This window comes from Homo sapiens, chromosome 15, assembly GCF_000001405.40.
Source record: "Homo sapiens chromosome 15, GRCh38.p14 Primary Assembly".
Lineage (NCBI taxonomy): Eukaryota > Metazoa > Chordata > Mammalia > Primates > Hominidae > Homo > Homo sapiens.
In genome coordinates this window covers 44433206-44459767 of record NC_000015.10, presented here as the reverse complement: position 1 = coordinate 44459767, position 26562 = coordinate 44433206, and the positions used below count along the sequence as shown (strand labels likewise).

General features: G+C 41.2%; 1 protein-coding gene and 1 pseudogene across 14 annotated transcripts in view; one reads left to right on the top strand and one right to left on the bottom strand.

Annotated features, from left to right (window-relative positions):
* CTDSPL2 (CTD small phosphatase like 2) overlaps positions 1-26562 on the bottom strand; it is a 101410-nt gene that overhangs the window by 69271 nt on the left and 5577 nt on the right. For all 14 annotated transcript variants that reach the window (XR_007064454.1, XR_007064456.1, XR_007064453.1 and 11 more), the window contains exon 2: positions 568-777. Coding sequence is in view for 9 of the 14 variants with exons in the window: in XM_005254441.3 (XP_005254498.1) it covers positions 568-753 (186 nt within the window). In the remaining 5 variants the exon portion in view is untranslated. The remainder of the gene's footprint in view (positions 1-567; positions 778-26562) is intronic.
* HNRNPMP1 (heterogeneous nuclear ribonucleoprotein M pseudogene 1) lies at positions 10430-12393 on the top strand (annotated as a pseudogene).

The following is a 26562-nucleotide window of genomic DNA, read 5'->3' as shown; positions in this document are numbered from 1 at the left end:
AACAACTCAAGTAAAAGAACAAGGAAAAATTTATTTTGCTTCCCATAATACTATGTTGAAAAAGCAGAAGGCTACGTGGATTAGTTCAGTGGAATAATGTTCTTCTTAAACTGCCATTAAATATTCTGCATGTAAAACTCTTAGAAGTAAAATTAACACCAAAACGTAGTTTTTGGTGCGCTATCAGATTTCTCATCTACACATGCTTAGAGAAAATATCATAATTGTCACTATTTTTTTTTGAGACGGAGTCCCGCTGTCGCCCAGGTTGGAGTGCAGTGGTGCGATCTCGGCTCACTACAGGCTCCGCCCCCTAGGGTTCAAGCCATTCTCCTGCCTCAGCCTCCCGAGTAGCTGGGACTACAGGCGCCCGCCACCTCGCCCGGCTAATTTTTTGTATTTTTAGTAGAGACGGGGTTTCACCGTGTTAGCCAGGATGGTCTCGATCTCCTGACCTCGTGATCCACCTGCCTGGGGCTCTCAAAGTGCTGGGATTACAGGCGTGAGCCACCGTGCCCGGCCAATTTTCACTTTTAATGATATGAAAGTATATGGTAAAATCATTACCTTAGGTGTGCTTCCTTTAATAAATTTTTTAATTGAAGACAACAAGCCGGTTTCATTCTTCGATGGTTTTTCTCCTCCTGAAGGCAGGCTATCATCAACCTCTGAATATTTCCTCTTTGCTCTGGCAGTGCGTTGTGTTTGGATTTGATTTGACTGCTGAGAAGCTTTCCGTGTTCTCAGCCTCATCTTTTATGGGTGCCACATGTAAAACTAAAAGAGAAAAATAATAAATGTAATAAAAAATTAAAAGTTATTAAATTCAACCTTCTCTACCCAAATGTGCCCAGCTTATATAATAAAAATATCTTGGCTAAAAAAACAAAAGTCCTAGACTCTAGGAGACTGCAGTAAGAAACCAACATTTTAAGTAAAAGGCATTATGCTTTATACATTATTTATATTATCCCAAGTAACCTTCCCAACAACCTCTGAAATATTATAATATATCCTATGATCTAAAGTAAGGGTAACACCAAGGAGTGTGCATGCTCTTTACATAATACTATACTGCCTGCCAACACTACTATTCGTTTAATCGTTCGTTCGACAAATATTTATTGCATACATAGCCACATTCAAGGCACTGGGCCAAGTAAGAATTGAGTAAATAGTAAACAAGATAAGGAAAGGTTTTGCTTTTCTGTAACTCACTGGGTAGTGGAAAAGTAATGTCAGCCAATGAATGAATGAATTCCATGAGCACAATTCTAATAATCAACAACCATATAAGTGTAACAACAGAATGTGGATCATTTTGAGAAAGTCCTATCTTACCACATTTAATGATACTTTTAAAACGATTCACATCAGAAAGAAAATATGAGGCTATTTATTTGAGCTCTCTCATTTTATAGGTAAGACAATTAATTGCTGGCAAAACTGTCCCAACACTTAGAATTAAAGACATAACTGAATTAGAATCTGTGAAACACAATACAAAGAATACTAAACGAAGAATTAAGAGATGTGAATTTTAATCCTACTCCAATCATGGCTAATCTGTAGTCACTTAGTTATGTTTTATCACATGTATAAAAAAACATATTTACCTTACCATTCTGAGGCTCAAAATGAAAAAAGGACTAGTAAAGGCTATAATGTGCAAAGGACAATAAAGCTATTCACCATAGTGGATACACTCACAGAACAAACTAACTCCAATTAAGCACTTTAAACTCTAAATGTACAGAAATTCCTGGCAAAGATTAGAGTCTCAGAAATTGTTTTTAGTAACTCAACAAAACAATCATAGAAAAAAAAGAAACTTTTTAAAAAATAGAAACTACAGGCTGGGCACGCAGTGGCTCACACCTGTAATCCCAGCACTTTGGAAGGCCAAGGCAGGTGGCTCACCTGAAGTCAGGAGTTCCAGACTAGCCTGGCCAACATGGAGAAACCCTGTCTCTACTAAAAATACAAAAATTAGGTGGGCGTGGTGGCAGGGGCCTGTAATCCCAGCTACTCTGAAGGCTGAGGCAGGAGAACTGCTTGAACCCGGGAGGCGGAGGTTGCATTGAGGAGAGATCACACTATAGCACTCCAGCTTGGGCAACAGAGCGAGATTCCATCACTACCCTCTCCCACCCCGCACCACCCCCCCCAACCAAAAAAGTGCCACACCAATAAACACACAAAGGCTAACAAAGCAAAGCAGCCTTCTTGCTGACATGGAGAGTTTTGGTAGTCTGGATATAAAATCAAACCAGCCACAGCATTCCCTTAAACCAAAGCTAATCCAGAGGTGAAGAAGCTGCATAAGAAAAGTTTGAAGCTAGCACTATTTGGTTCATGAGGTTTAAGGAAAGAAGCTGTCTCCATAATATAGATGTGCAAGGTGAGGTGAAGCAGCAGGTGCTGATATAAAAGTGGAGGCAAGTTATCCAGAAGATCTCACTATGTCCACTGATGAAGGTGGCTATACTAAAACAACAGATTTTCTAAGTAGACGAAACAGCTTTCTGCTGGAAACAGATGCCATCTAGGACTTTCACAGCTATGAGAAGTCAGTGCCTGGCTTCAAAGCAGGCTGGGCACAGTGGCTCACGCCTGTAATCCCAGCATTTTGGGAGGCCAAGGCAGGTAGATGGCTTGAGCCCAGGAGTTCAAGACCAGCCTGGGCAACATGGTGAAACCCCATCTCTATAAAAAATACAAAAATTAGCTGGCCATGGTGGTGCATGTCTGTAGTCCCAGCTACCTGGGAGGCTGAAGTGGAAGGATCACTGAAGCCCAGGAGGTTGAGGCTGCAGTAAGCCAATACCGCGCCACTGCACTCCAGCCTGGGCGACAGTGAGAGCCTGTTTCAAAAAAAAGAAAAAAAAACAAAAAAAAAAAGAAAAAAAAAAAAGATCTAAAACTGACACCCTAACATCACAATTAAAATAACTAGAGAAGCAAGAGCAAACAAATTCAAAAGCTAGCAGAAGAAAAGAAGTAACTAAGATCAGAGCAGAACTGAGGGAGATAGAGACACAAAAAAACCCTTAAAAAAAATCAATGAATCCAGGAGCTGGTTTTTTGAAAAGATTAACAAAATTGACAGGACGCTAGCAAGACTAATAAGAAAAGAGAGAAGAATCAAATAGACGCAGTAAAAAATGACAAAGGGGATATCATCACTGATTCCACAGAAATACAAACTACTACCATCAGAGAATACTATAAACACCTCTATGCAAATAAACTAGAAAATCTAGAAGAAATGGATAAATTCCTGGACACACACACCCTCCCAAGACTAAACCAGGAAGAAGTTGAATCTCTGAATAGAACAATAACAGGAGCTGAAATTGAGGCAATAATTAATAGCCTACCAACTAAAACAAGTCCAGGACCAGATGGATTCACAGCGGAATTCTACCAGAGGTACAAGTAGGAGCTGGTACCATTCCTTCTGAAACTATTACAATCAATAGAAAAAGAGGGAATCCTCCCGAACTCATTTTATGAGGCCAGCATCATCCTGATACAAAGCCTGGCGGAGACACAACAAAAAAAGAGAATTTTAGACCAATATCCTTGATGAACATTGATGCAAAAATCCTCAATAAAGGCCGGGCGCGGTGGCTCACGCCTGTAATCCCAGCACTTTGGGAGGCCGAGGCGGGTGGATCACGAGGTCAGGAGATCGAGACCATCCTGGCTAACACGGTGAAACCCCGTCTCTACTAAAAATACAAAAAATTAGCCGGGCGAGGTGGCGGGCGCCTGTAGTCCCAGCTACTCGGGAGGCTGAGGCAGGAGAATGGCGTGAACCCCAGGGGGCGGAGCCTGCAGTGAGCCGAGATTGTGCCACTGCACTCCAGCCTGGGCGACAGCGAGACTCCGTCTCAAAAAAAAAAAAAAAAAAAAAAAAAAAAAATCCTCAATAAAATACTGGCAAACCGAATGCAGCAGCACATCAAAAAGCTTATCCACCATGATCAACTGAGCTTCATCCCTGGGATGCAAGGCTGGTTCAACATACGCAAATCAATAAATGTAATCCAGCATATAAACAGAACCAAAGACAAAAACCACATGATTATCTCAATAGATGTAGAAAAGGCCTTTGACAAAATTCAACAGCCCTTCATGCCAAAAACTCTCAATAAATTAGGTATTGATGGGATGTATCTCAAAATAATAAGAGCTATTTATGACAAACCCACAGCCAATATCATACTGAATGGGCAAAAACTGGGAGCATTCCCTTTGAAAACTGGCACAAGACAGGGATGCCCTCTCTCACCACTCCTATTCAACATAGTGTTGGAAGTTCTGGACAGGGCAATAAGGCAGGAGAAAGAAATAAAGGGTATTCAATTAGGAAAAGAGGAAGTCAAACTGTCCCTGTTTGCAGATGACATGATTGTATATTTAGGAAACCCCATCATCTCAGCCCAAAATCTCCTTAAGCTGATAAGCAACTTCAGCAAAGTCTCAGGATACAAAATCAATGTGCAAAAATCACAAGCTTTCTTATACACCAATAACAGACAGAGAGCCAAATCATGAGTGAATTCCCATTCACAATTGCTTCAAAGAGAATAAAATACCTAGGAATCCAACTTACAAGGGATGTGAAGGACCTCTTCAAGAAGAACTACAAACCACTGCTCAATGAAATAAAAGACACAAACAAATGGAAGAACACTCCATGCTCATGGGTAGGAAGAATCAATATCGTGAAAATGGCCATACTGCCCAAGGTAATTTATAGATTCAATGCCATCCCTATCAAGCTACCAATGACTTTCTTCACAGAATTGGAAAAAACTATTTTAAAGTTCATATGGAACCAAAAAAGAGCCCACACTGCCAAGACAATCCTAAGCCAAAAGAACAAAGCTGGAGGCATTACGCTACCTGACTTCAAACTATACTACAAGGCTACAGTAACCAAAACAGCATGGTACTGGTACCAAAACAGAGATATAGACCAATGGGACTGAACAGAGCCCTCAGAAATAACACCACACATCTACAACCATCTGATCTTTGAGAAATCTGACAAAAACAAGAAATGGGGAAAGGATTCCCTATTTAATAAACGGTCCTGGGAAAACTGGCTAGCCATATGTAGAAAGCTGAAACTGGATCCCTTGCTTACACCTTACACTAAAATTAATTCAAAATGGATTCAAGACTTAAATGTTAAACCTAAAACCATAAAAACCCTAGAAGAAAACCTAGGCAATACCATTCAGGACATAGGCATGGGCAAGGACTTCATGTCTAAAACACCAAAAGCAATGGCAACAAAAGCCAAAATTGACAAATGGGATCTAGTTAAACTAAAGAGCTTCTGCACAGCAAAAGAAACTACCATCAGAGTAAACAGGCAACCTACAGAATGGGAGAAAAATTTTGCAATCTACTCATCTGACAAAGGGCTAATATCTGGAATCTACAAAGAACTCAAACAAACTTACAAGAAAAAAACAACTCCATCAAAAAGTGGGTGAAGGATATTAACAGACACTCCTCTAAAGAAGACATTTATGAAGCCAACAGACACATGAAAAAATGCTCATCATCACTGGCCATCAGAGAAATGCAAATCAAAACCACAATGGGATACCACCATCTCAACACCAGTTAGAATGGCGATCATTAAAAAGTCAGGAAACAACAGGTGCTGGAGAGGATGTGGAGAAATAGGAACACTTTTACACTGTTGCTGGGACTGTAAACTAGTTCGACCATTGTGGAAGACAGTGTGGCAATTCCTCAAGGATCTAGAACTAGAAATACCATTTGACCCAGCTATCCCATTACTGGGTAAATACCCAAAGGATTATAAATCATGCTGCTATAAAGACACATGCACACGTATGTTTACTGCGGCACTATTCACAATAGCAAAGACTTGGAACCAACCCAAATGTCCATCAATGATAGACTGGATTAAGAAAATGTGGCATATATACACTATGGAATACTATGCAGCCATAAAAAAGGATGAGTTCATGTCCTTTGTAGGGACATGGATGAAATTGGAAACCATCATTCTCAGCAAACTATCACAAGGACAAAAAACCAAATACCGCATGTTCTCACTCATAGGTGGGAACTGAACAATGAGAACACATGGACACAGGAAGGGGAATATCACACACTGGGGCCTGTCGTGGGGTGGGGGGGATGGGGGAGGGATAGCATTGGGAGATATACCTAGTGTAAATAACGAGTTAATGGGTACAGCACACCAACATGGCACATGTATACATATGTAGCAAGCCTGCACGTTGTGCACATGTACCCTAGAACTTAAAGTATAATAAAAAGAATTTAAGTAAAAAACAAAAAAAAAATCCACATGATCATCTCAATTAATGCAGAAAAAGCATTTGATCAAATCCAACACCCTTTCATATTAAAAATAATCAATAAATGAAGAACAAACAGGAACTTCCTCAACATAATAAAAAGGTATTTATGAAAAACCCACATGACCTATCATACATGATAAAAGGCTGAATGCTGTCCCTCTAACATCAGGAACAAGACAAGGACGGCCCCTCTCACCACTTCTATTCAACATTTTACTGGAAGTTCTAAGCAGGCAATTAGGCTAGAAAAATAAAAGAAATCCATATTAAAAAGAAAAAAAGGTGAAACTTATCTCTTTGCAAATGACATAGTCTTGTTTAAAGAATAATCATAAAGAAAAAACTGGATAAACTGACTTCATAAAAATTAAAAACTTGCCGTCTACCAAAAGACATTATTGGAAAAATAAGAAGGCAAGGAGCAAACTGGTCGAATATTCACAAAACGCACATATCACAAAGACCTTGTATGTAGAATATATAAAGTCCTACAACACAATAAGAAAACAAGCCAATAGAAAAAACAGGCAAAAATATGAGAAAATATTTCATAAAAATTAGATAACTGGTGATAGCATAAAAAATGATACTCAATATTATTCATAAGAATTTTAAGTTAAAACCCCAAAGGTATGCCAATTCACACCTCCTAAAATGGCAAAAATTAAAAAGAATGACAAATTTAAATAGTAACAATGATGGAGAATAAAGAGAAGTCTCTTTATTCTCATGTTACTATATGCTGCTGTTAAGGATGTATGTTTTTTGATAAAATTGGGCAATTTCTAATAAATATACACCAAACTCTTTGACTCACTGATTTCACTTCTACATTTTTATCCAAGAGAAATGTAAACACGTTCACAATATATTTTTACAAAAATATTCCTGACAGCCTTATTCACAATAAGGCTGTTTCTAGTCCCAAACTGGAAACAACAAAAATGCCCCAAAACAGAAAGATGAATACTGTGGTGTTTTCATGTAAGTGAATACTAATCAGCATCACAAAGGAACTTCTATCATAAACAAACATGAAATAATCTCATAGACATGCTAAACAATGGCAGACACAAAATAATACATATTTAATAACATCATTAAAAAGAATTTTTATCGGGGACACAAATAATCTATAGAGAAAAAAAGCAAAACAGATTTTGCCTTGGAGAAATGAAACGCCCTCTAATGTTATAGGAGTATCTTTTTGTCAAAATTTTACAGAATATAATTTGTAATGGTCATGTAATATTTCAATATTTCAATATAAATGTCTCATAATTTATTTGATCACTGATTTGTTGGAAAATAAACTGTTTCATGATTACTAACATCACCTCAAATGAAATAACCACATAAATTTCAGTCTACATTTCTGATTCTTTCCTTAAGACAGTTTCTTAGAAGTGAATTTACTAGTTTAAAAATTTTACAGCTGAGATCTGTGTTCAAGGTGTTTGGGCTCATGATTGGTCCGATCATTAGTTGACCACTAGGCTATGCAAATATATAGGGAGGTATGCTTTAGTAAGCCAAGCTTAAAAGTAAAAGCAAAAATATTTAAAAAGAAAAAATAATAATTAAGCAGAGACATCAGTGTTTGCATACTGCAGGGAGATAAATTTCATAGATTTTTTTCTGCCCATGGAAGTTACTGCTAAACAACCAACAACTTTTGACGGGAGAAAAATCAAGAATCAGAGTGGCTACAATATTATCTAAAATGGCCAGTTTTCAACAAAAAATTATAAGACATGATAGAAACAGTAAAGTATGACCCAAACTCAGGGGGAAAAACTGCAGTGAAAACATATTAATCATGTGCCAGGCTTACAACAATCCAGTGAGAGATATATGTAATTATTTACATAAAACAAAATTCACTCTTGATCCCTTAAGAGTTGGAAAAATTCTTATTTTTGGTGGACATATTGACCCTTTTCTCTGATTATAAAATACACATCATTTTAGAACTTTAGGCTGAGCGTGGTGGCTCACACCTGTAATCCCAGGGCTTTGGGAGGCTGAGGCGGGAGGATTGCTTGAGCCCAGGAATTCTAGACCAGCTTGGGCAACACAGGGAGACTCCCCAGTCTCTACAAAAAATAAAAACAAAAAAATTATATGGGCATGGTGGTGCACACCTCTAGTCTCAGCTACTTGGAAGGCTGAGAGAGAGAAGATCACTTGAGCCTGAGAAGCTGAGGCTGCAGTGAGCCATAGCACACCACTGCACTCCAGCCTGGGAAACAGACTGAGACTCTGTCTCCAAAACAAAAAACAAGAAACAGAAAGACAGTAAAACATGAAATAAAATCTCCCATAATTCCTTAACTCAGAAATGACTGATAATGTGGGTATATTAGTCTGCTTGTTTTAACATGTATAAGTATTTTAATCAATATTTATAATTATACTACACGTATTACCTGTTTTTTTCCCCTTTTATACTATATTTTACCAATGTTGTTTTAAAAATTTGAGAATATTGGCCAGATGCAGTGGCTCACGCCTGTAATCCCAGCACTTTGGGAGGCCAAGGCAGGCAGATCATCTCAGGTCAGGAGTTCGAGACCAGCCTGGCCAACATGGTGAAACGCCCCTTCTCTACAAAAAATACAAAAATTAGCCGGACATGGTGGCAGGCGCCTGTAATCTCAGCTACTTGGAGGCTGAGGCAGGAGAATCACCTGAACCCCAGAGGCGGAGGTTGCAGTGAGCCAAGGTTGCACCGCTATACTCCAATCTGCGTGACAAAGTGAGACTCAGTCTCAAAAAAAAAAAAAAAAAAAAAAAAATTAAGAATATAACTTTTAATGGTCATGTCATATTCCAATATACAGATAAACGTTTCATTATTTGATCACTGACTTGTTGGAAAATAAACTGTTTCATAATTACTAACATCACCTCAAATGAAATAACCACATAAATTTCAGTCTACATTTCTGATTCTTTCCTTAAGACAGTTTCTTAGAAGTGAACTTACAAGTTCAAAGATTGTTAACATTTGGTAGTATCTCTAGAAATACTAACAAACTGCTTTCTGGAAAAGTGGTTTGAACTAGCAGTGTATAAGGAGTGTCTATATGACTAAATCTTCCAAATTAGAATTTATTTTTAATATTTAAATGTTTCCTAATTTTAAGTTAAAAAAACAGTAAAACTAAGTAATTTAAATTATATTTATAGGTTACCTCCAATTCCCTCTTTTTTCTAAAAATCTAAAACACTAAAATTGAAAAATGCTCTTAATTCAACCTCTCCAACCACAGCAAAAACACCTCAGGTAGCATTCCTGAAGAAAAGTAATGTAGAATCTAACGGAATGCTTAAGGAGACATAAGGATCATTATTTCATAATGCAAACGTAAAAAAATATTAATTTTTTTTTTTTTTGAGACAGACTCGCTCTGTCACCCAGGCAAGAGTGCAGCAACGTAATCTCAGCTCACTGCAACCTCCACCTCCTGGGTTCAAGCAATTCTCCTGCCTCACCCTCCCAAGTAGCTGGGATTAGAGGCATGTACCACCATGCCTGGCAAATTTTCGTATTTTTAGTAGAGACGAGGTTTTGCCATGTTGGCCAGGCTGGTCTTGAACTCCTGACCTCAAAGTGATTCATCCTTCTCAGCCTCCCAAAGTGCTGGGATTACAGGCTAGTGCCACCACGCCTGGCTACTTTTTGTACTTTTAGTAGAAATGGTGTTTCGCCTTAAACGAGTTCTAATCAAAAAACTTCCTTATACTGAACTGAGGCCAGGCGTGGTGGCTCACACCTCTAATCACAACACTTTGGGAAGCCGAGGTGGGCGGACTGCCTGAGCTCAGGATTTCAAGACCAGCCTGGCCAACATGGTGAAACCCTGTCTCTACTAACAATACAAAAAAATTAGCCAGGCATGGTGGTGCCCACCTGTAATCCCAGCTACCTGGGAGGCTGAGGCTCAAGAATCACTTGAACCCGGGAGGCAGGGAGGCAAAAGTTGCAGTGAGCCGAGATCATGCCACTGCAATACAGCCTGGGCAACAGGCACTGAAGGAAAGTCAGGGGATGTGCTGTTATTGAATTCAAGATGGAAGAAAACATAAAAAAAGCTATTCAGGTGCTAGACAAGCATAGTCTGAGTGGAAGACCACTGAAAGTGAAAGATCCTGATAGTGAACATGCCAGGAGAGCAATGCAAAACGTGATGGCTACCACTGGTGGAACAGATATGAGACCAAGTGGCCCAGAAATGATTACTATCCCACCTAGTATCTTAAATAATCCTAACATCCCAAATGAAATTATCCATGTATTACAGACAGAAAGACTTGGAAGCACAATATTTGTAGCAAATCAGGATTACAAAGTTGGCTGGAAGAAACTCAAGGAAATATTTTAGTATGGCTGATGTGGTGTTCTGAGCACATTCTTGAGGATAAAGATGAAAAAAATCATGGATTGGGCACTGTTACTTTTGAACAGTCCACTGAAGCTGTGCAAGCTATATCTACATTCAATGGCCAACTGCTGTGTGATAGACCAACGCAGGTAAAGACGGATGAGACCGCCTTACCAAAGGATTTTTTTTTCCCTCCTAAGCGTCCGCAGCTTCCCTATGGCCTTGGTGGTATTGGAACAGGGTTAGGACCAGGAGGGCAGACTATCGATGCCAATCACCTGAATAAAGGCACTGGAATGGGAAACAGGGCCTGCAGAAATTAGAATGGAGGGCATGGATTTAGAATAAAATGGGAGAAATGGAGGAGGGACCCCCATGGTGGCGGTATGGAAAATGTGGGTCAATTTGGCTCTGGGATGAACATGGGCAGAATAAAGGAAATCTTAGTAATACACTTAGGATAGGGAAGATCACTACAAAGCAGAGAGGAAGTGAAGGTGGAGGCAGCATCCCCAAAATCGAGAGGATGAGGCCCAAGCGCTGACTACACTGGGGGTGCCAGCATGGAATGCATGAGTCCAGGCCTGGGCCATGGTGTGGATCGTGTGGGTTCCAAGATGCAGCACATGGGTCTGGTCATGGACCGCATGGGCTTTGTGGAGCACAAAGGCTCCCACAGGGAGCGCATGGGCCTGCTGGGCCTTGACCAAATGGCCTCTAGCATCCAGCACACAGGCAAGGTCACGGAGCGCAGTGGCTCCGGCCTGGAGCACATGGGTGCCGGCATGGGCTTCAGCCTCAAGTGCACAGCTGCTCCCATTGACCATGTGGACCAAACCATTGAGCACATGGGCTCTGGTGTGGAGTGCATGGTTCCTGCAGGTATGGGGGCTGGCCTGGAGCACATGAGCCCCATGATGGATCACATGGCCACTGGCCTGGAGCACATAGGTGCCAACAACCTGGAACATCCGGATGGAACTGGGGTGGACGGGTGCCAACAGTCTGGAGAGGATGGGCATTAACAGCCTTGAGTGCATGGGTCCCGTCATGGGCCAGACACTGGGTGCTGAGACTGGGTGTATGGGCCTAGCCATGGATGGTGGTGGCCATGTCAGCTTTGACTGCGCCCACTTAAACTCTGGAGGAAGTTTGGCAGGGTCCTTTGGTGAGGCTGGAGGCCATGCTCCTGGCGGTGGCCAGGAAAGCCTACCAGGTATTTGTGAGAAATCTCCCATTTGATTTTACATGATCAAATTGACAAATACGGCCATGTGCTATAACCCAACATCAAGATGAAGAATGTGAAGTCCAAGGGATGTGGTTTGGTTAAGCTTGAGTTGCCAGAGGTGGCTGAGAGCCTGTCAGATGATGACTGGCACGAAGCCGAGTGGCCAAGAGATTGATGGGCAAATCGATAGAAATATGCCTTTTTTAAACATCAATATTTTGTATTTTTTTCTTGTTAACTATTTTAACTTGTTGGCTGGATATATAAAGATGTTTTAAAAATTCTGTTGCTTTTTGATGAAATCTGAATTACTTTTTTACTTTTTAAGGACTGGGGTTCTATTTGAACGTTTGCATTGAGATTGTAATATGCAAATTTTTTTGTAGTTGTGGCAACTTGCTGACATCAAACATAACTTTGATAATAAATACCAGTTGCTGGAAAAATAAAAAAAGAAAACCAATTCTCAATCTATTCTTTTCCAAAAAAGTTCTAAAATACTATATTTACCTGAACATGAAAAGGTTCCTATGTGCAAGGCACTGTGATAAATGCTTTCTCATGTTATTTCACTTAACCTTCTCAACCACATAAAGTAGTGTCTGTTATTTCCATTTTATGAAAGAAAAAGTATAAGGGGAGAAGACAGCAGAAGTGTTTTAAGTAAAAATTTCCACATAATTTCAATATAAATAACTTGCAATGTGAAAATAATATATTTATAACCAACAAAACATTTTAACTGATTAAAAAGTTACCAGGCTGGGTGCAGTGGCTCACGAGGTCTGGAGTTCGAGACCAGCCTGGCCAACATGGTGAAACTCTGTCTCTACTAAAAATACAAAAATTAGCTGGGCATAGTGGCAGGCACCTGTAATTCCAGCAACTTGGGAGGCTGAGGCAGGAGAATCACTTGAATCCGAGAGCAGAGGTTGCAGTGAGCTGAGATCACACCACTGCACTCCAGCCTGGGCAACAGACTGAGACTCCGTCTCAAAAAAAAAAAAAAAAAAAGTTCCCCAAGATTCCAATTTCCCTTTCTCTTTCTCTCTTTTTTTTTTTTGCCTGTTCCCTCTTCTGAGCCAGCAATTTCCCATTTTTCTCTAAGGTTTTTTGTTTGTTTGTTTGTTTGATTGTTTGAGATAGAGCCTTGCTCTGTCACCCAGGCTGGAGTGCAGTGGTTCTATCTCAGCTCACTGCAACCTCTACCTCCCAGGTTTAAGCAGTTCTCCTGCCTTGGCCTCCCAAGTAGCTGGGATTACAGGCGCATGCCACCACACCCGGCTACTTGTTTTCTATTTTTAGTAGAGACGGGGTTTTGCCATGTTGGCCAGGGCGGTTTCGAACACCTGACCTCAAGTGATCTGCCTGTCTTGGCCTCCCAAAGTGCTGGGATTACAGGCGTGAGCCACCGCACCCAGCCAGGTTTGTTTTTTACTTCTGCCTTTTGTCTGAATGGTCCATTGGAATGGGTAATTTTTCAGCTGAACCCCTGGCTGAACAAAACCTTAAGATAAAATTAACCTGTAAAAGCTGTAAGTTTATGGCAGGGCATGGTGGTTCATACCTGTAATCCCAGCACTTTGGGAGGTCGAGGTGGGTGGATCACGAGGTCAGGAGTTCGAGAACTGCCTGGTCAATATGGTGAAACCCTGTCTCCACTAAAAATACAAAAATTAACCAGGCGTGGTGGTGGGCTCCTGTAGTCCCAGCTACTTGGGAGGCTGAGGCAGAAGAATCGCTTGCACCCGGGAGGTGGAGGCTGCAGTGAGCCTAGATCGCGCCACTGCACTCCAGTCTGGGTGACAAAGCGAGAAAAAAAAAAAAAAAAAGGCCAGGCACAGTGGCTCACGCCTGTAATCCCAGCAGTTTGACAGGCCGAGGCAGGTGGATCATGAAGTCAGGCATTCGAGACCAGCCTGGCCAACAAAGTGAAACCCTGTCTCTACTAAAAATACAAAAAATTAGCTGGGCATGGTGGTGGGCGCCTGTAATCCCAGCTACTCGGGAGGCTGAGGCAGGAGAACAGCTTGAACCTGGAAGACGGAAGCTGCAGTAAGCCAAGATCGTGCCACTGCACTCCAGCCCAGGCGACAGTGCGAGACTCCATCTCAAAAAAAAAAAAGCAAAAAAAAAGCTGTGTTTTCAAATTGGCTGGTATGAGCTCAAAATTAAACTTCTGATAGAAACAATGTTACAAATACAGAGTAGAGTTCCAGGGCAGCTCCTATGTACATAGTTAACCCATAATATAACTGAATTCAAAAATCTAGAACCTAGGCCAGGTACAGTGGCTCACACCTGTAATGCCAGCACTTTGGGAGGCCAAGTCAGGTAGACCACTTGAGCCCAGGAGTTCGAGACCAGCCTGGGCAACATGATGAAACCCTGTATCTACTAAAAATACAAAAAAATTTGCTAGGTGTGATGGTGCATGCCTATAGTCCCAACTACTTGGGAGGCTGAGGTGGGAGGATCACCTGAGCCTGGGAAGTCGAAGCTGCAGTAAGCTGTGACTGCGTCACTGCACTGCAGACAGGGCAACAGCCGGAGTGAGACTCTGTCTCAAAAAGAAAAAAAAAAATCTGGAACCTAACCTATTATACAAATAATATGAAAAACTACAGCCGGGCGGGGTGGCTCACACCTGTAATCCCAGCACTCTGGGAGGCCGAGGCGGGCGGATCACAAGGTCTGGAGATCGAGACCATCCTAGCTAACACGGTGAAACCCTGTCGTCTCTACTAAAAATATAAAAAAAATTAGCCAGGTGTGCGCCTGTAGTCCCAGCTACTCGGGAGGCTGAGGCAGGAGAATGGTGTGAACCCGGGAGGTGGAGCTTGCAGTGAGCTGAGATCGCGCCACTGCACTCCAGCCTGGGCAACAGAGGGAGACTCCGTCTAAAAAAAAAAAAAAAAAAAAAAAAAAAAAACTACATTCCATATCTCAACACCAGGCCTATCTGTACCCCTACTAAAGTTATAGATATCTGGTACTGGGAAAACTATATATCTAAACGCCAAAAAAAAAAAAAAAACTACTTACCTTATACTACATAGAAAATTAACTCAAAATTGATCAAATACCTAAACATTAGAGCTAAGACTCTTAGAAGAAAATATAGGCTGGGTGTGGTGGCTCACACCAGTAATCTCAGTACTTTGGGAGGCCAAGGAGGGTAGATCGCCTGAGCTCAGGAGTTCAAGACCAGCCTGGACAACATGGTGAAACTTCGTCTCTACCAAAAATACAAAAAATTAGCCAGGTGTAGTGATGTGTGCCTGTGGTCTCAGCTACTTGGGAGGCTGAGGTGGCAGGATCACTTGAGCCTGGGAGGCAGAGGTTGCAGTGAGCTGAGATTGCACCACTGCACTCCAACCTGGGTGACAGAGTAAGGTCCCTTCTCAAAAAAATGTGTCTCTGTGTCTGTGTGTGTGTGTGTGTGTGTGTGTGTGTGTGTGTGTGTATGGGAAAAGCTCATAACATTGGATTTGGCAATGGTTTCTTGGTCATGACAACAAAAACACACATAACAAAAAGAAAAACAGATAAATTGGGTGTCAAAACCCAAAATTTTTGAGCCAGGTGCCATGGCTCACACCTATAATCCCACCTACTTGGGAGGCTGAGGCAGAAGGACCGTTTTGACCAGTCTGAGCAACAAGGTGAGACCCCATCCCTAAAAAACTAAAAAAATTAGCCAGGCATGATGGTGCACACCTACAGTACTAGCTACTACTTGGGAAGCTGAGGTGGGAGGATCCCTTGAACTCAGGAGTTCAAGAGTGCAGCGAGCTACAAGTGCACCACTACACTCCAGCCTGGGTGACACAGTAAGATCCTACCTCTTAAAAAATTTTGTTTTTAATTTTTGTGTATCAAAGTACACTATCAACAGAGTGAAAAGACAAACCATGGAATGGCAGAAAATACTTGCAAATCATGTGTCTCTTAAGAAGTTCTTATCTAGAATACATAAAGCATTACAATCAGAAAGAAAAAAACAACCAGATTCAAAAATGTGCAAAGGACTTGAATAGGCTTTTCTCCAAAGAGGATATACAAATAGACAATAAGCACATGAAAACACACTTGACATCACTAATTATCTAATTATCACGGAAATGCTAATTAAAACCACAATAAAAAACAGCTTCACACTCATTTAGATGACTAGTATCAAAAAAATAAAAATAAAAAATAAAAATTGCCGGCAAGAATGTGGAGAAATTAGAATCCTTGCGCTTTACTGTAGAGAATGTAAAATAGTAAAGCTGCTGTGGAAAGTGGCATGGCAGTTCCTCAAAAAAATTAAATATAGAATTGCCATATGATCCAACAATTCTACTTCCAGGTATGCATCCAAAAGAACTGACAGTAGGGTCTCACACAGTACATCCATATTCATAGCAGCATTTTTCACAATAGCTAAAAGGTGGATGCAATCGAAGTGTCCACCAATGGAAGAATGGATAAACAAAATGTGGTACGTACACACAATTAAGTAGTATTCAGCCTTAAAAAGGAAGGAAATTCTGATATATATTATGAACGTTGAAGACTGTTTAATGAACACAGAGTTTCCGTTTGAGAAGATGAAAAAGTTCTGGAGACAGATGGTAGACAACAAGGTGAATGTACTTAATACCACTGAACTGTGTACTTACAAATGGTTAAAATGGTTTAACACAGTTTTTAACAAAACTATAGATCTTCATCTAATCCAAAGGTTTCCAAAAGAGTAAGAGATAAGGACTCTGGAATTGGAAAACAAAATCTCTTTTTTTTTTTTGAGACACGGTCTCACCCTGTCACCCAGGCTGGAGTGCAGCGGCAGGTTCACCACTTACTTGCAGCCTCAACGTCCCAGGCTCAAGCGATCTTCGCACCTCAGCCTACAGAGTAGCTGGGACTACAGGCATGCACTACTACGCCCAGCTAATTTTTTAATCTTTTGTAGAGCTGGGGTACCACTATATTGCCCAGGGTGGTCTCAAACTCCTGGGCTCAAGTGATCCGCCCATCTTGGCCTCTTGAAGTGCTGTGATTACAGGCGTGAGCTACCATGCCTGGCCCTATTTTTTTTTTGCTAACCAACTACTGTGAACAAGGGGTAGAAAATAATGGGGACAGAAGAAAAGGACAGAAAAAGGGACCAAGTAAAATTTGCCTCCTACCCCGCCTTTTTAATATTTACTTACTTTTAAAAATGACAAAATAACCTGTAGACAAAAAATGGCAAATTGTCAGGTACACCAAGTGCTAAAATACTTCATCTTAATTCCAGACTTTAAAATTATCTATCTTTTTTTTTTTTTTTTTGAGACAGAGTCTTGCTCTGTCACCCAGGCTGGAGTGCAGTGGCATGATCTCAGCTCACTGCAACCTCTGCCTCCCAGATTCAAGCAATTCTCCTGCCTCAGCATCCCGAGTAGCTGGGATTACAGGCGTGCACCACCACGCCTACTTTTTGTAATTTTAGTAGAGAAAGGGTTTCACCATGTTGGCCATGCTGGTCTCGAACTCGTGACCTCAGGTGATCTGCCCGCCTCGGCCTCCCAAAGTGCTGGGATTACAGGCATGAGCCACCGCACCTGGCCACAATATATGTTTTTTCCCCCTAGGAATTTCGTAACAGGAAATAGAAGAATAAGCAAGGTTGAGAGGAGACTGGGAAAAGATGACAAAAGTTACAGAGGAGGAGCTGACCACAAGACAGTTTTGAGGGAACCAGCACTTAGGGAAGAAGAAAAAGCAATCCAGCGCTAATTGGGGAGTCTCTCTTTCCACTATCAATCGATCTAACCAATTCAAACCCTTTCCTTTGGTCTAAACTAAAGAAAAGGCAACCTGAGGGCAAAGAAGTCGGGGAATTACAAGCTACAGCCCCAGAAAGAGAAGAGCACTTCTATGACCCACTGGAGTTTTTCCTAGAGATTCATTCTTCTAAATTAACTGGGTTCTGCCTAGGCTACAGAAAGCCAGAAAGAATGCCACCACCAGCCTAACAACAAAAAAACATGAATAAACTACAAAATTGAACCTTTTAAAAACCCATCCGAGAGCTGAGGACTCAGGCAACCAGGAAACCTCAAATCCAAGAAAATACAACCCCTTCCTAGGAGAGACAGAAAGCAAGCACGGGCTCACCTGAGGTAGACCACGGGAAGAAACAATGGTTCCATAAAACCAGGTAAAAAGAATTCATCTAAAATTGTTAACAAACTGCTGAAGGCAAAGTGTGGATTAGCATGAGAATGTATTATTCCTGAGAGACACAGATAACAAGGGCAATTGAAACCATTTGCAAGATCTTCCACAGACCTCCACCAAAGGCTCACAATATGCGAACATGGGACTGAAGAGAGCCCTCCTCTGTGGTGCAGTGCTGGAGGAAGGGAGCAGCTTCTACAATGGGAAAAATACGAAGCCCCAACCAGATCCTTCTCTTCTAGGGAACAAAAACTGGAAGGGACTAGTGGAGGAACAGCAAGCCCAGTTACCCGCAAGGCACAAGTGAATGCGGGGGAGTGAAAGAAAAAAAAACTCTACCACTGTAGGGGAAGGAAACAGTGTTGGACCCAGGGTCTTATACCAAAGACATTAGAGATCTTACTAATGTCTCTAATACCACTGAGGCAAGAGCAGAGAAACTCTTTTCCAGATAACACCGACAAAGATAAAAATTGCAGTCTGGCCTAGAGGAGCAAGATTACTGATAGAGTCCCACTCATGAGGCCAAGGCACATAAGCCAAACGCTGAGAACTGATCAGGAAAATTCAGAAACACCTTCCCACATGCCAACTACCAATCTAAGCACAAAGTAACACGAGAGAAATTTGAAGCCAATGGCGCACTTAAGGTACCCTCTGCAACAACAAAACAGAAACTCAGCTTAACTCCTGAGTACACTGACTCAACTCCCTACCCTAAAAGTCCACGAATGCAATGTTCCAGGTATAAATATTATTTACTCAGTCTTTACTACCCTATTCACAATATCCAGCATTCAGTAAAATATTGCAAGACACACAAAAAAGGAATAAATTACAACCTCAAGAGGCAAAGCATTCAACAGACCAGAAATCAAGATGAATTAAAAAAAAAATTTAAAAACCAGAAATTAAATTTTTTGCAAAGATGAGTAAATTGATAAACCTTCAGCAGTTTGAGGAAAAAAAGACGCAAATAACCATTATTAGGAAGGAAAAAGTGAACATCACTATAGATCCTATATACTTTTAAGGAGAATTTACAGAGTATTACCAACAGGACCAGGCGCAGTGGCTCATGCCTGTAATCCCAGCACTTTTGGAGGCCAAGGCAGGCAGATCACCTGAGGTCAGGAGTTCGAGACCAGCCTGGGCAACAGAGTGAAGCCCCATCTCTACTAAAATTACAAAAATTAGTCAGGCATGGTGGTGCGCACCTGTAATCCCAGCTACTCCGGAGGCTGAGGCAGGAAAATCGCTTAAACCTGGGAGGCAGAGGTTGTAGTGAGCAGAGATCACACCACTGCACTCCAGCCTGGGCAACAGAGCAAGACTCCATCTCAAAAAAAAAAAAAACACAAAAACAAACAAACAAAAAAACAACTTTATGCCTGTACACTCAATAATTTAGATGAAAATCAAATTCCTCAAAACATATGGACCACCAAAGCTCACACATTAGATAACCTAATTAGCCCCATATCCATTAATTTCTAAAATTGAAACTGTAGTAAAAAACCTCCAACACAGAAAACTCCAGGCCCAAATGGCTTCACTGGAGAATCCTACCAATCATCTAAAAAGAAACAATACCAAATCTACATAAACTCTTCCAGAAAATAGAAGGGAACACTTCCCAACTCATTTTATGAGACCAACATTACCTTGATAACAAAACCAAACAAACATAATACAATATTAATTTGGCCCAGTACAGGTTAGGAATTGCTTATATAACATCAGCAACAACCTGATTTTATTAAATTTAAAATATAAAGGAAACAGTTTTAAACAGACATATACAGCCTCACGTTGGTAATGCTACTACTTATGTCAGGATTTACCATACCCTTTCAGTTCTTTAGCGTTCCATTACTAGATAAATTACAGGTTGAGTATCCCTAATTTGAAAATACAAAACCTGAAATGCTCCATAATCCAGAAACCTGAGTGCTGACATGACACTCAAAGAAAATGCTCAACCAGTATAATGCAAATATTCCCCCCCCCCCAAAAAAAACATAAAAATACAGAGACTTTCGGTCTCAGGTATTTCAGATAAGGGATACTCAACCTGTATCAGTAAAAAATGGAACAAATAAGGCGCGGTGGCTCAAGCCTGTAATCCCAGCACTTGGGAGGCCGGCTGGGGATGGGGGGGCAGGCAGATCACAAGGTCAGGAGTTCGAGACCGGCCTGGTCAATATGGTGAAACCCCGTCTCTACTAAAAATACAAAAATTAGACGGGCATGGTGGTGGGTGCCTGTAGTCCCAGCTACTCGGGAGTCTGAGGCAGGAGAATGGTGTGAACCCAGGAGGCAGAGGTTGTAGTGAGACGAGATCACGCCACTGCACTCCAGCCTGGGCGACAGAGCGAGACTCTATCTTAAAAAAATAAATAAATAAATAACAATAATAATAATAATAATAATATAAAGCTTGGGAAAATGAGTATGCTTAGGAAAGAAATCTGTGAATGAAAATGATACAATTTAGGCATCATCACAAAACAAACATAGCAATAAGGGCAATATTTTAGCCTAAGAATTCATGACATTGGAAGAAAAAAGTATATAATGTAAAACAGCCCTACTTGTTCACAACACTGGTTGTGATCTGGTTCAAGATCTCCTTTCAGGAATACAAAAAGTTAATTGCCCAGCAATTCAAAACTGGGCAATAAAATTTCCTTTCTACTTGCCTGCAGCCCAGGTAAAAGGATTAAAGAGGTAGTGGGTTGGAGTTGGAGAATGAGCCTCTTTCAAATGTTCATTATAAACTGCATCATTAATTCTGCTTGAATCTCTACTGCCTCTAAATTTCAGACTCACACTCAACCACGTTCTCAACACTTTTACTTGGTACCTCAAATTCAACTCACCCAAAACTGAATTCACTTTTCCCATACCACCCCCATACCAAAACCAGCTCTTCCTACCGTATTTTTCCTAATATATTCTTCATCACAAGTAATGCTACTACCATCTACCTAACTAGCCAAGCCAGAAACTTAGAAGCCATCCTAAACATCACAGTTATTATTCCTCTCCCTTATCTTATATAGTCAATCATCAAATCCTGATGATTTTACCTCTGAAATATTTCTTCTTCTTGTCCCCTTTAAATCGATCCTGGGCACTGCACAAACTTGCCTGTTCCTCTCACCCAGGTTTCCCATCAACTGCCTTCAAAATAAAGACTAAACTCTAGCATTGCATATGAAACCCACAATAACTACTTCCCAGTCTGTTTTCATTGCTATTTGCTGCCACATTCTTTTTTTTTTTTTTTGAGACGGAGTCTCGCTCTGTCACCCAGGCTGGAGCGCAGTGGCGCGATCTCAGCTCACTGCAAGCTCCACCTCCCGGGTTCACGCCATTCTCCTGCCCCAGCCTTCCGAGTAGCTGGGACTACAGGCGCCCACCACCACGCCTGGCTAATTTTTTGTATTTTTAGTAGAGATGGGGTTTCACCATGTTAGCCAGGATGGTCTTAATCTCCTGACCTCGTGATCCACCTGCCTCGGCCTCCCAAAGTGCTGGGATTACAGGCGTGAGCCACTGCACCCAGCCAGCTGCCACATTCTTAGCACTGCAGTACTAATAGTTTCCTGCCCACACTGTGCTCTATACATGCTTCTGCTCTTTTTACCTCATTCTTTCAATTAACTATTATCTTCATTGTTTAAAACTCAGCCCAAGTATCATGTATAAGTAACCACCTCTATAGCCTCAAACCTGTGTAAACCCTGTGATTATCTCTAATTTAGCTCTTAAATTGTATTAAATAATCTGTTTCTTTCTCTTTAATTGCACTAGACTGTAAGAGTCTTGAAGGTAGATGCTGGATCCATAATTCTAGTAACCTGGCACACGAGTTAACTCAATCTTTGTTGAACTAAGCCACAATTTTTCTAATCTCTCTCAAAAAGGCCATATAATTGGGGTGAAGGAGACCGTATCACTGAAACATAAACAATCTTCACATCAATACTTAATTCTTGCCTACAAAAATGGGCTTATAAATAAAACTAAAAGTTTCTTCCTCATAAGATTTCCTTCCCCTTCACAAAATCCATGATACCAAGCAATTTTTGAGGCAGACAATTATGGTTTCAAATTGCCTTGTATTAACAATATGATTACAATAATGATAAAAGCATAAATTCAGTTGATAATCTGCTCCCAAGGTCTTGAATGCACACATTTCTACCTAAACAACATTAAGAGAAAATAGCACATTGTATATGAAGAATTCTCAACAAATTAGAACTTACTTATGTGCCCTCTTTACAAATGTATTTGCTAATTGAATGAGAAGTGGTATACAGCTTGAGCATCCCTACTAGGAAAATCTGAAATACAAAAATCTGAAAATCCGAAATGCCCCAAAATCCAAGTTTTTGAGCACCAACATACATAATGTCACAAGTGGAAAATTCCACCCCGACTTAATGTGACGAGTCAGTCAAAATGCAGTCAAAACTGTTTCATGCACAAAACTATTAAAAATATTGTTTAAAATTACCTTCAGACTATGTGTGTAAGGTACTTATGAAACATAAATGAATTTCATGTTTAAACTTGGGTCCTTTCCAAGATACCTCATTATGTATATGCAAATATTCCAAAATCCAAAAAAATCTGAAATCCAAAACACTTCTGATACCAAGCATTTTGGATGAGGGATACTCAACCTGTTCTGATGTGTCATGCATTAAGAGAGAAACAAGAGTAGATAACACATATAAATAAAGAAAATTACAAAAAGATCACAAATCAAACATTAAAGGCAACAAAGTCAAGATTTGCTGTAAAACTTTATGTATATTTACAGTTGGCTATATAAAAAATAATACATGCATGCAAGGTTCTAGAGTAGACTCCTGAAGGAGTTACTAAAGGAATGACCTCCAGACTAAGAGGTGGACACACTCAGTTTCCAGTCCTTAATCTATCATTAGTTAGCTGTGAGACACTGCTTAAGTCATGCAATCATTCTAGCACTTTGTTTCCTCAACAGCAAAAGAAATTATTGGACATCAGATCTGGCATTTCACATGTAAATTTTACCTAAAAAATAAACAAACAAAGAGCTGTCAAAATGGGAGATGAGTCATTAATTAATCAGAGCTGTCTTCATCCTTCCATCATATACAACTCATCCTGCAGCAACCTCATTAAGACAAACATTCACTACATGTTAAGGAGTCTTCAGAATGATTCATCACAATAAAACACAAATGTTATTGGACTAGATGACCTCTTTGGTCTCCTCCAGCTCTAAAATTCTCTGGGTCTGTTAATTTATACTCTACCTTACAAATGGTATGATTACTAAATTTACATTAACTTACTATATTCATGAAAGAAAAAGCTAAAGTCATTGCCCTCTTTGACACCAAATGACATTTTCAAAAGTAGCAGCATGTTTCCACTTAGTCTACATTTCTAGCCTGACTAATCTGAAATCAAGTTTCAGGTATTACAACTGTCCACCTTTACTCTCCACTACTTCCATAAGCCTTCATTATAAAAGGAGGAGGAGGACTTGGGGAAAAAACAGATTTCTCCGTCACCTAAGAAAAAAAATCAAGACAACTAGGGAAGAAGGACTAAGTATAGGAGCATTATATAAAATATCAACTTGGCCAGGTGCGATGGCTCACACCTGTAATCCCAGCACTTTGGGAGGCCGAGGCGGGTGGACCACTTGAGGTCTGGAGTTCGAGACCAGCCTGGCCAACATGGCGAAACCCCGTCTCTACTAAAAGCACAAAAATTAGCCAGGCGTGGTGGTGCACACCTGTAATCCCAGCTACTCAAGAGGCTGAGGCAGGAGAATCGCTTGAACCCGGGAGGCAGAGGTTGCAGTGAGCTCAGATTGCGCCACTGCGCTCCAGATTGGGTGACAGAGCGAGACTCCGCCTCAAAAAAAAAAAAAAAACAACTCTACAACAGGAAGATTCTCTTTTTTTTTTTGGTTTTGAGACAGAGTTTCTCTCCTTGCCCAGGCTGGACTGCGATGGCGCGATCTCAGCTCACTGCAACCTCCGCCTCCAGGGTTCAAGCAATTCCCTGTCTCAGCCTCCCGAGTAGCTGGGATTACAGGCATGCGCTACCATGCCCGCCTAATTTTTGTATTTTTGGTAGAGACGGGGTTTCGCCATGTTGGCCAAGCTGGTCTTGAACTCCTGACCTAAGGTGATCCACCTGCCTTGGCCTCCCAGAGTGGTGGGATTACACGCGTGAGCCATTGCGCACAGTTAGAAGGATTCTTTTTTTTTTTTTTTTTTTTTGAGACGGAGTCTCACTCTGTCGCCCAGGCTAGGGCACAGTGGCGTGATCTCGGCTCACTGTAACCTCTGCCTCCCGGGTTCATGCAATTCTCCTGCCTCAGCCCCCGTGGCTGGGATTACAGGTGCACACCACCGCGCCCAGCTAATTTTTGTATTTTTAGTAGAGACAGGGTTTCACCATGTTGGTCAGGCTGGTCTCAAACTCCTGACCTTGTAATCCGCCTGCCTTGGCCTCCGAAAGTGCTGGGATTACAGGCGTGCGCCACTGTGTCTGGTCGAAGGTTATTTTAATCCTATTCACAACAAAGTGTGTGATAAAGACAGGTGGTCTTTCTGGATCATCAATATTTCTGATATATGGTCTTCTCTGCTTTTCCATTTAGCTAATATTATAAAATTATTTAAAAACTACTAAATATAATAAACTTATCAAAAACATTTGGCAAAATACAGAACTATACAAAAAATAAAACAACTGAGTTAGGCTGATAAAATTATAGGGTTTTCTCTGACTTAAAGTTTTCTTCAATAAATAAGAAAGAAAAGAATGTGTTTTTGGCCGGGCACAGTGACTCACTCACACCTGTAATCTCAGCACTTTGGAAGGCCCACCTAGGAAGAGGTCACTTGAGACTAAGAGTTCAAGACCAGCCTAGGCAACAGTGAGACCCTGCCTTTATTTAAAAATTTTAAAACTTGGCCAGGCGTGGTGGTGCACACCTGTAGTTCCAACTACTTGGGAGGCTGCGGCAGGAGGATCGCTTGAGCCCAGGAGGTGAAGGCTGCAGTAAACTGTGACTGTGCCATTGTACTCCAGCCTAGGTGAGAGAGTAAGACTCTGTCTTCTTTTTTTTTCTTGAGACTGAGTCTTGCTCTGCCGTCAGGCTGCAGTGCAGTGGCACGATCTCAGCTCACTGCAACCTCCTCCTCCCAGGTTCAAGCAATTCTCCTGCTTCAGCCTCCTGAGTAGCTGGGACTACAGGCATGCGCCACCATGCCCAGCTAATTTTTGTATTTTTAGTAGAGATGGGGTTTCGCCATGTTGGCCAGGATGATCTCGATCTCTGGACCTCATGATCTGCCCATCTTGGCCTCCCAAAGTGCTGGGATTACAAGCGTGAGCCACCACGCCCAGTCAAGACCCTATCTCTTAAGAAAAAAATAAATAAATAAATAAATAAATAACAATGATTTTTCTAAAACCATTATCAATCTGTTTTCTCTAGAGAAGCAATATATGGGTTGTTAGATTACTGATGACTAAAACACACTCTTAAAATATACACTGATTTTTTTTTTTTTTGAGACGAGAGTCTTGCTCTGTTGCCCAGGCTGGAGTGCAGTGGCGCAATCTCGATTCACTGCAACCTCCATCTCCTGGGTTCAAGCGATTCTCCTGCCTTAGCCTCCCAAGTAGATGGGATTACAGGCATACACCACCATGCCCAGCTAATTTTTTTTGTATTTTTAGTAGAGACGGGGTTTTACCATGTTGGTCAGGCTGGTCTCGAACTCCTCAACTCATGCCACTGCACTCCAGCCTGGGTGACAGAGCGAGACTCCGTCTCAAAAAACAAAAACAAAAACAAACAGAAAAAATACAAAAATTAGCCAGGCGTGGTGGCAAACACCTGTAGTCCTAGCTACTCAGGAGGCTGAGGCAGGACAATCACTTGAACCAGGGAGGCGGAGGTTGCAGTGAGCTGAGATCGTGCCACTGCACTCCAGCCCGGGCAACAGAGTGAGAGTCCATCTCAAGAGAAAAAAAAGTGTGTGTGTGTGTGTGTGTGTGTGTGTATATATATGTATATAAAACATTTAAATCCCTACTTAGGCTGAGCGCAGTGGCTCACACTTGTAATCCCAAGTATGTTCTACTAGTACACTGTTTCGGCTGTTTTTTGTCCTTTTTTTTTTTTTTTTTTTCTTTGAGACAGGGTCTTGCTCTGTTACCCAGGCTGGAAGACTGGAGTGCAATGGATGGCACCCTCACGGCTCACTGCAGCCTCAACCTCCTGGGCTCAAGCAATTCCCCCTACTCAGCCCCGCTA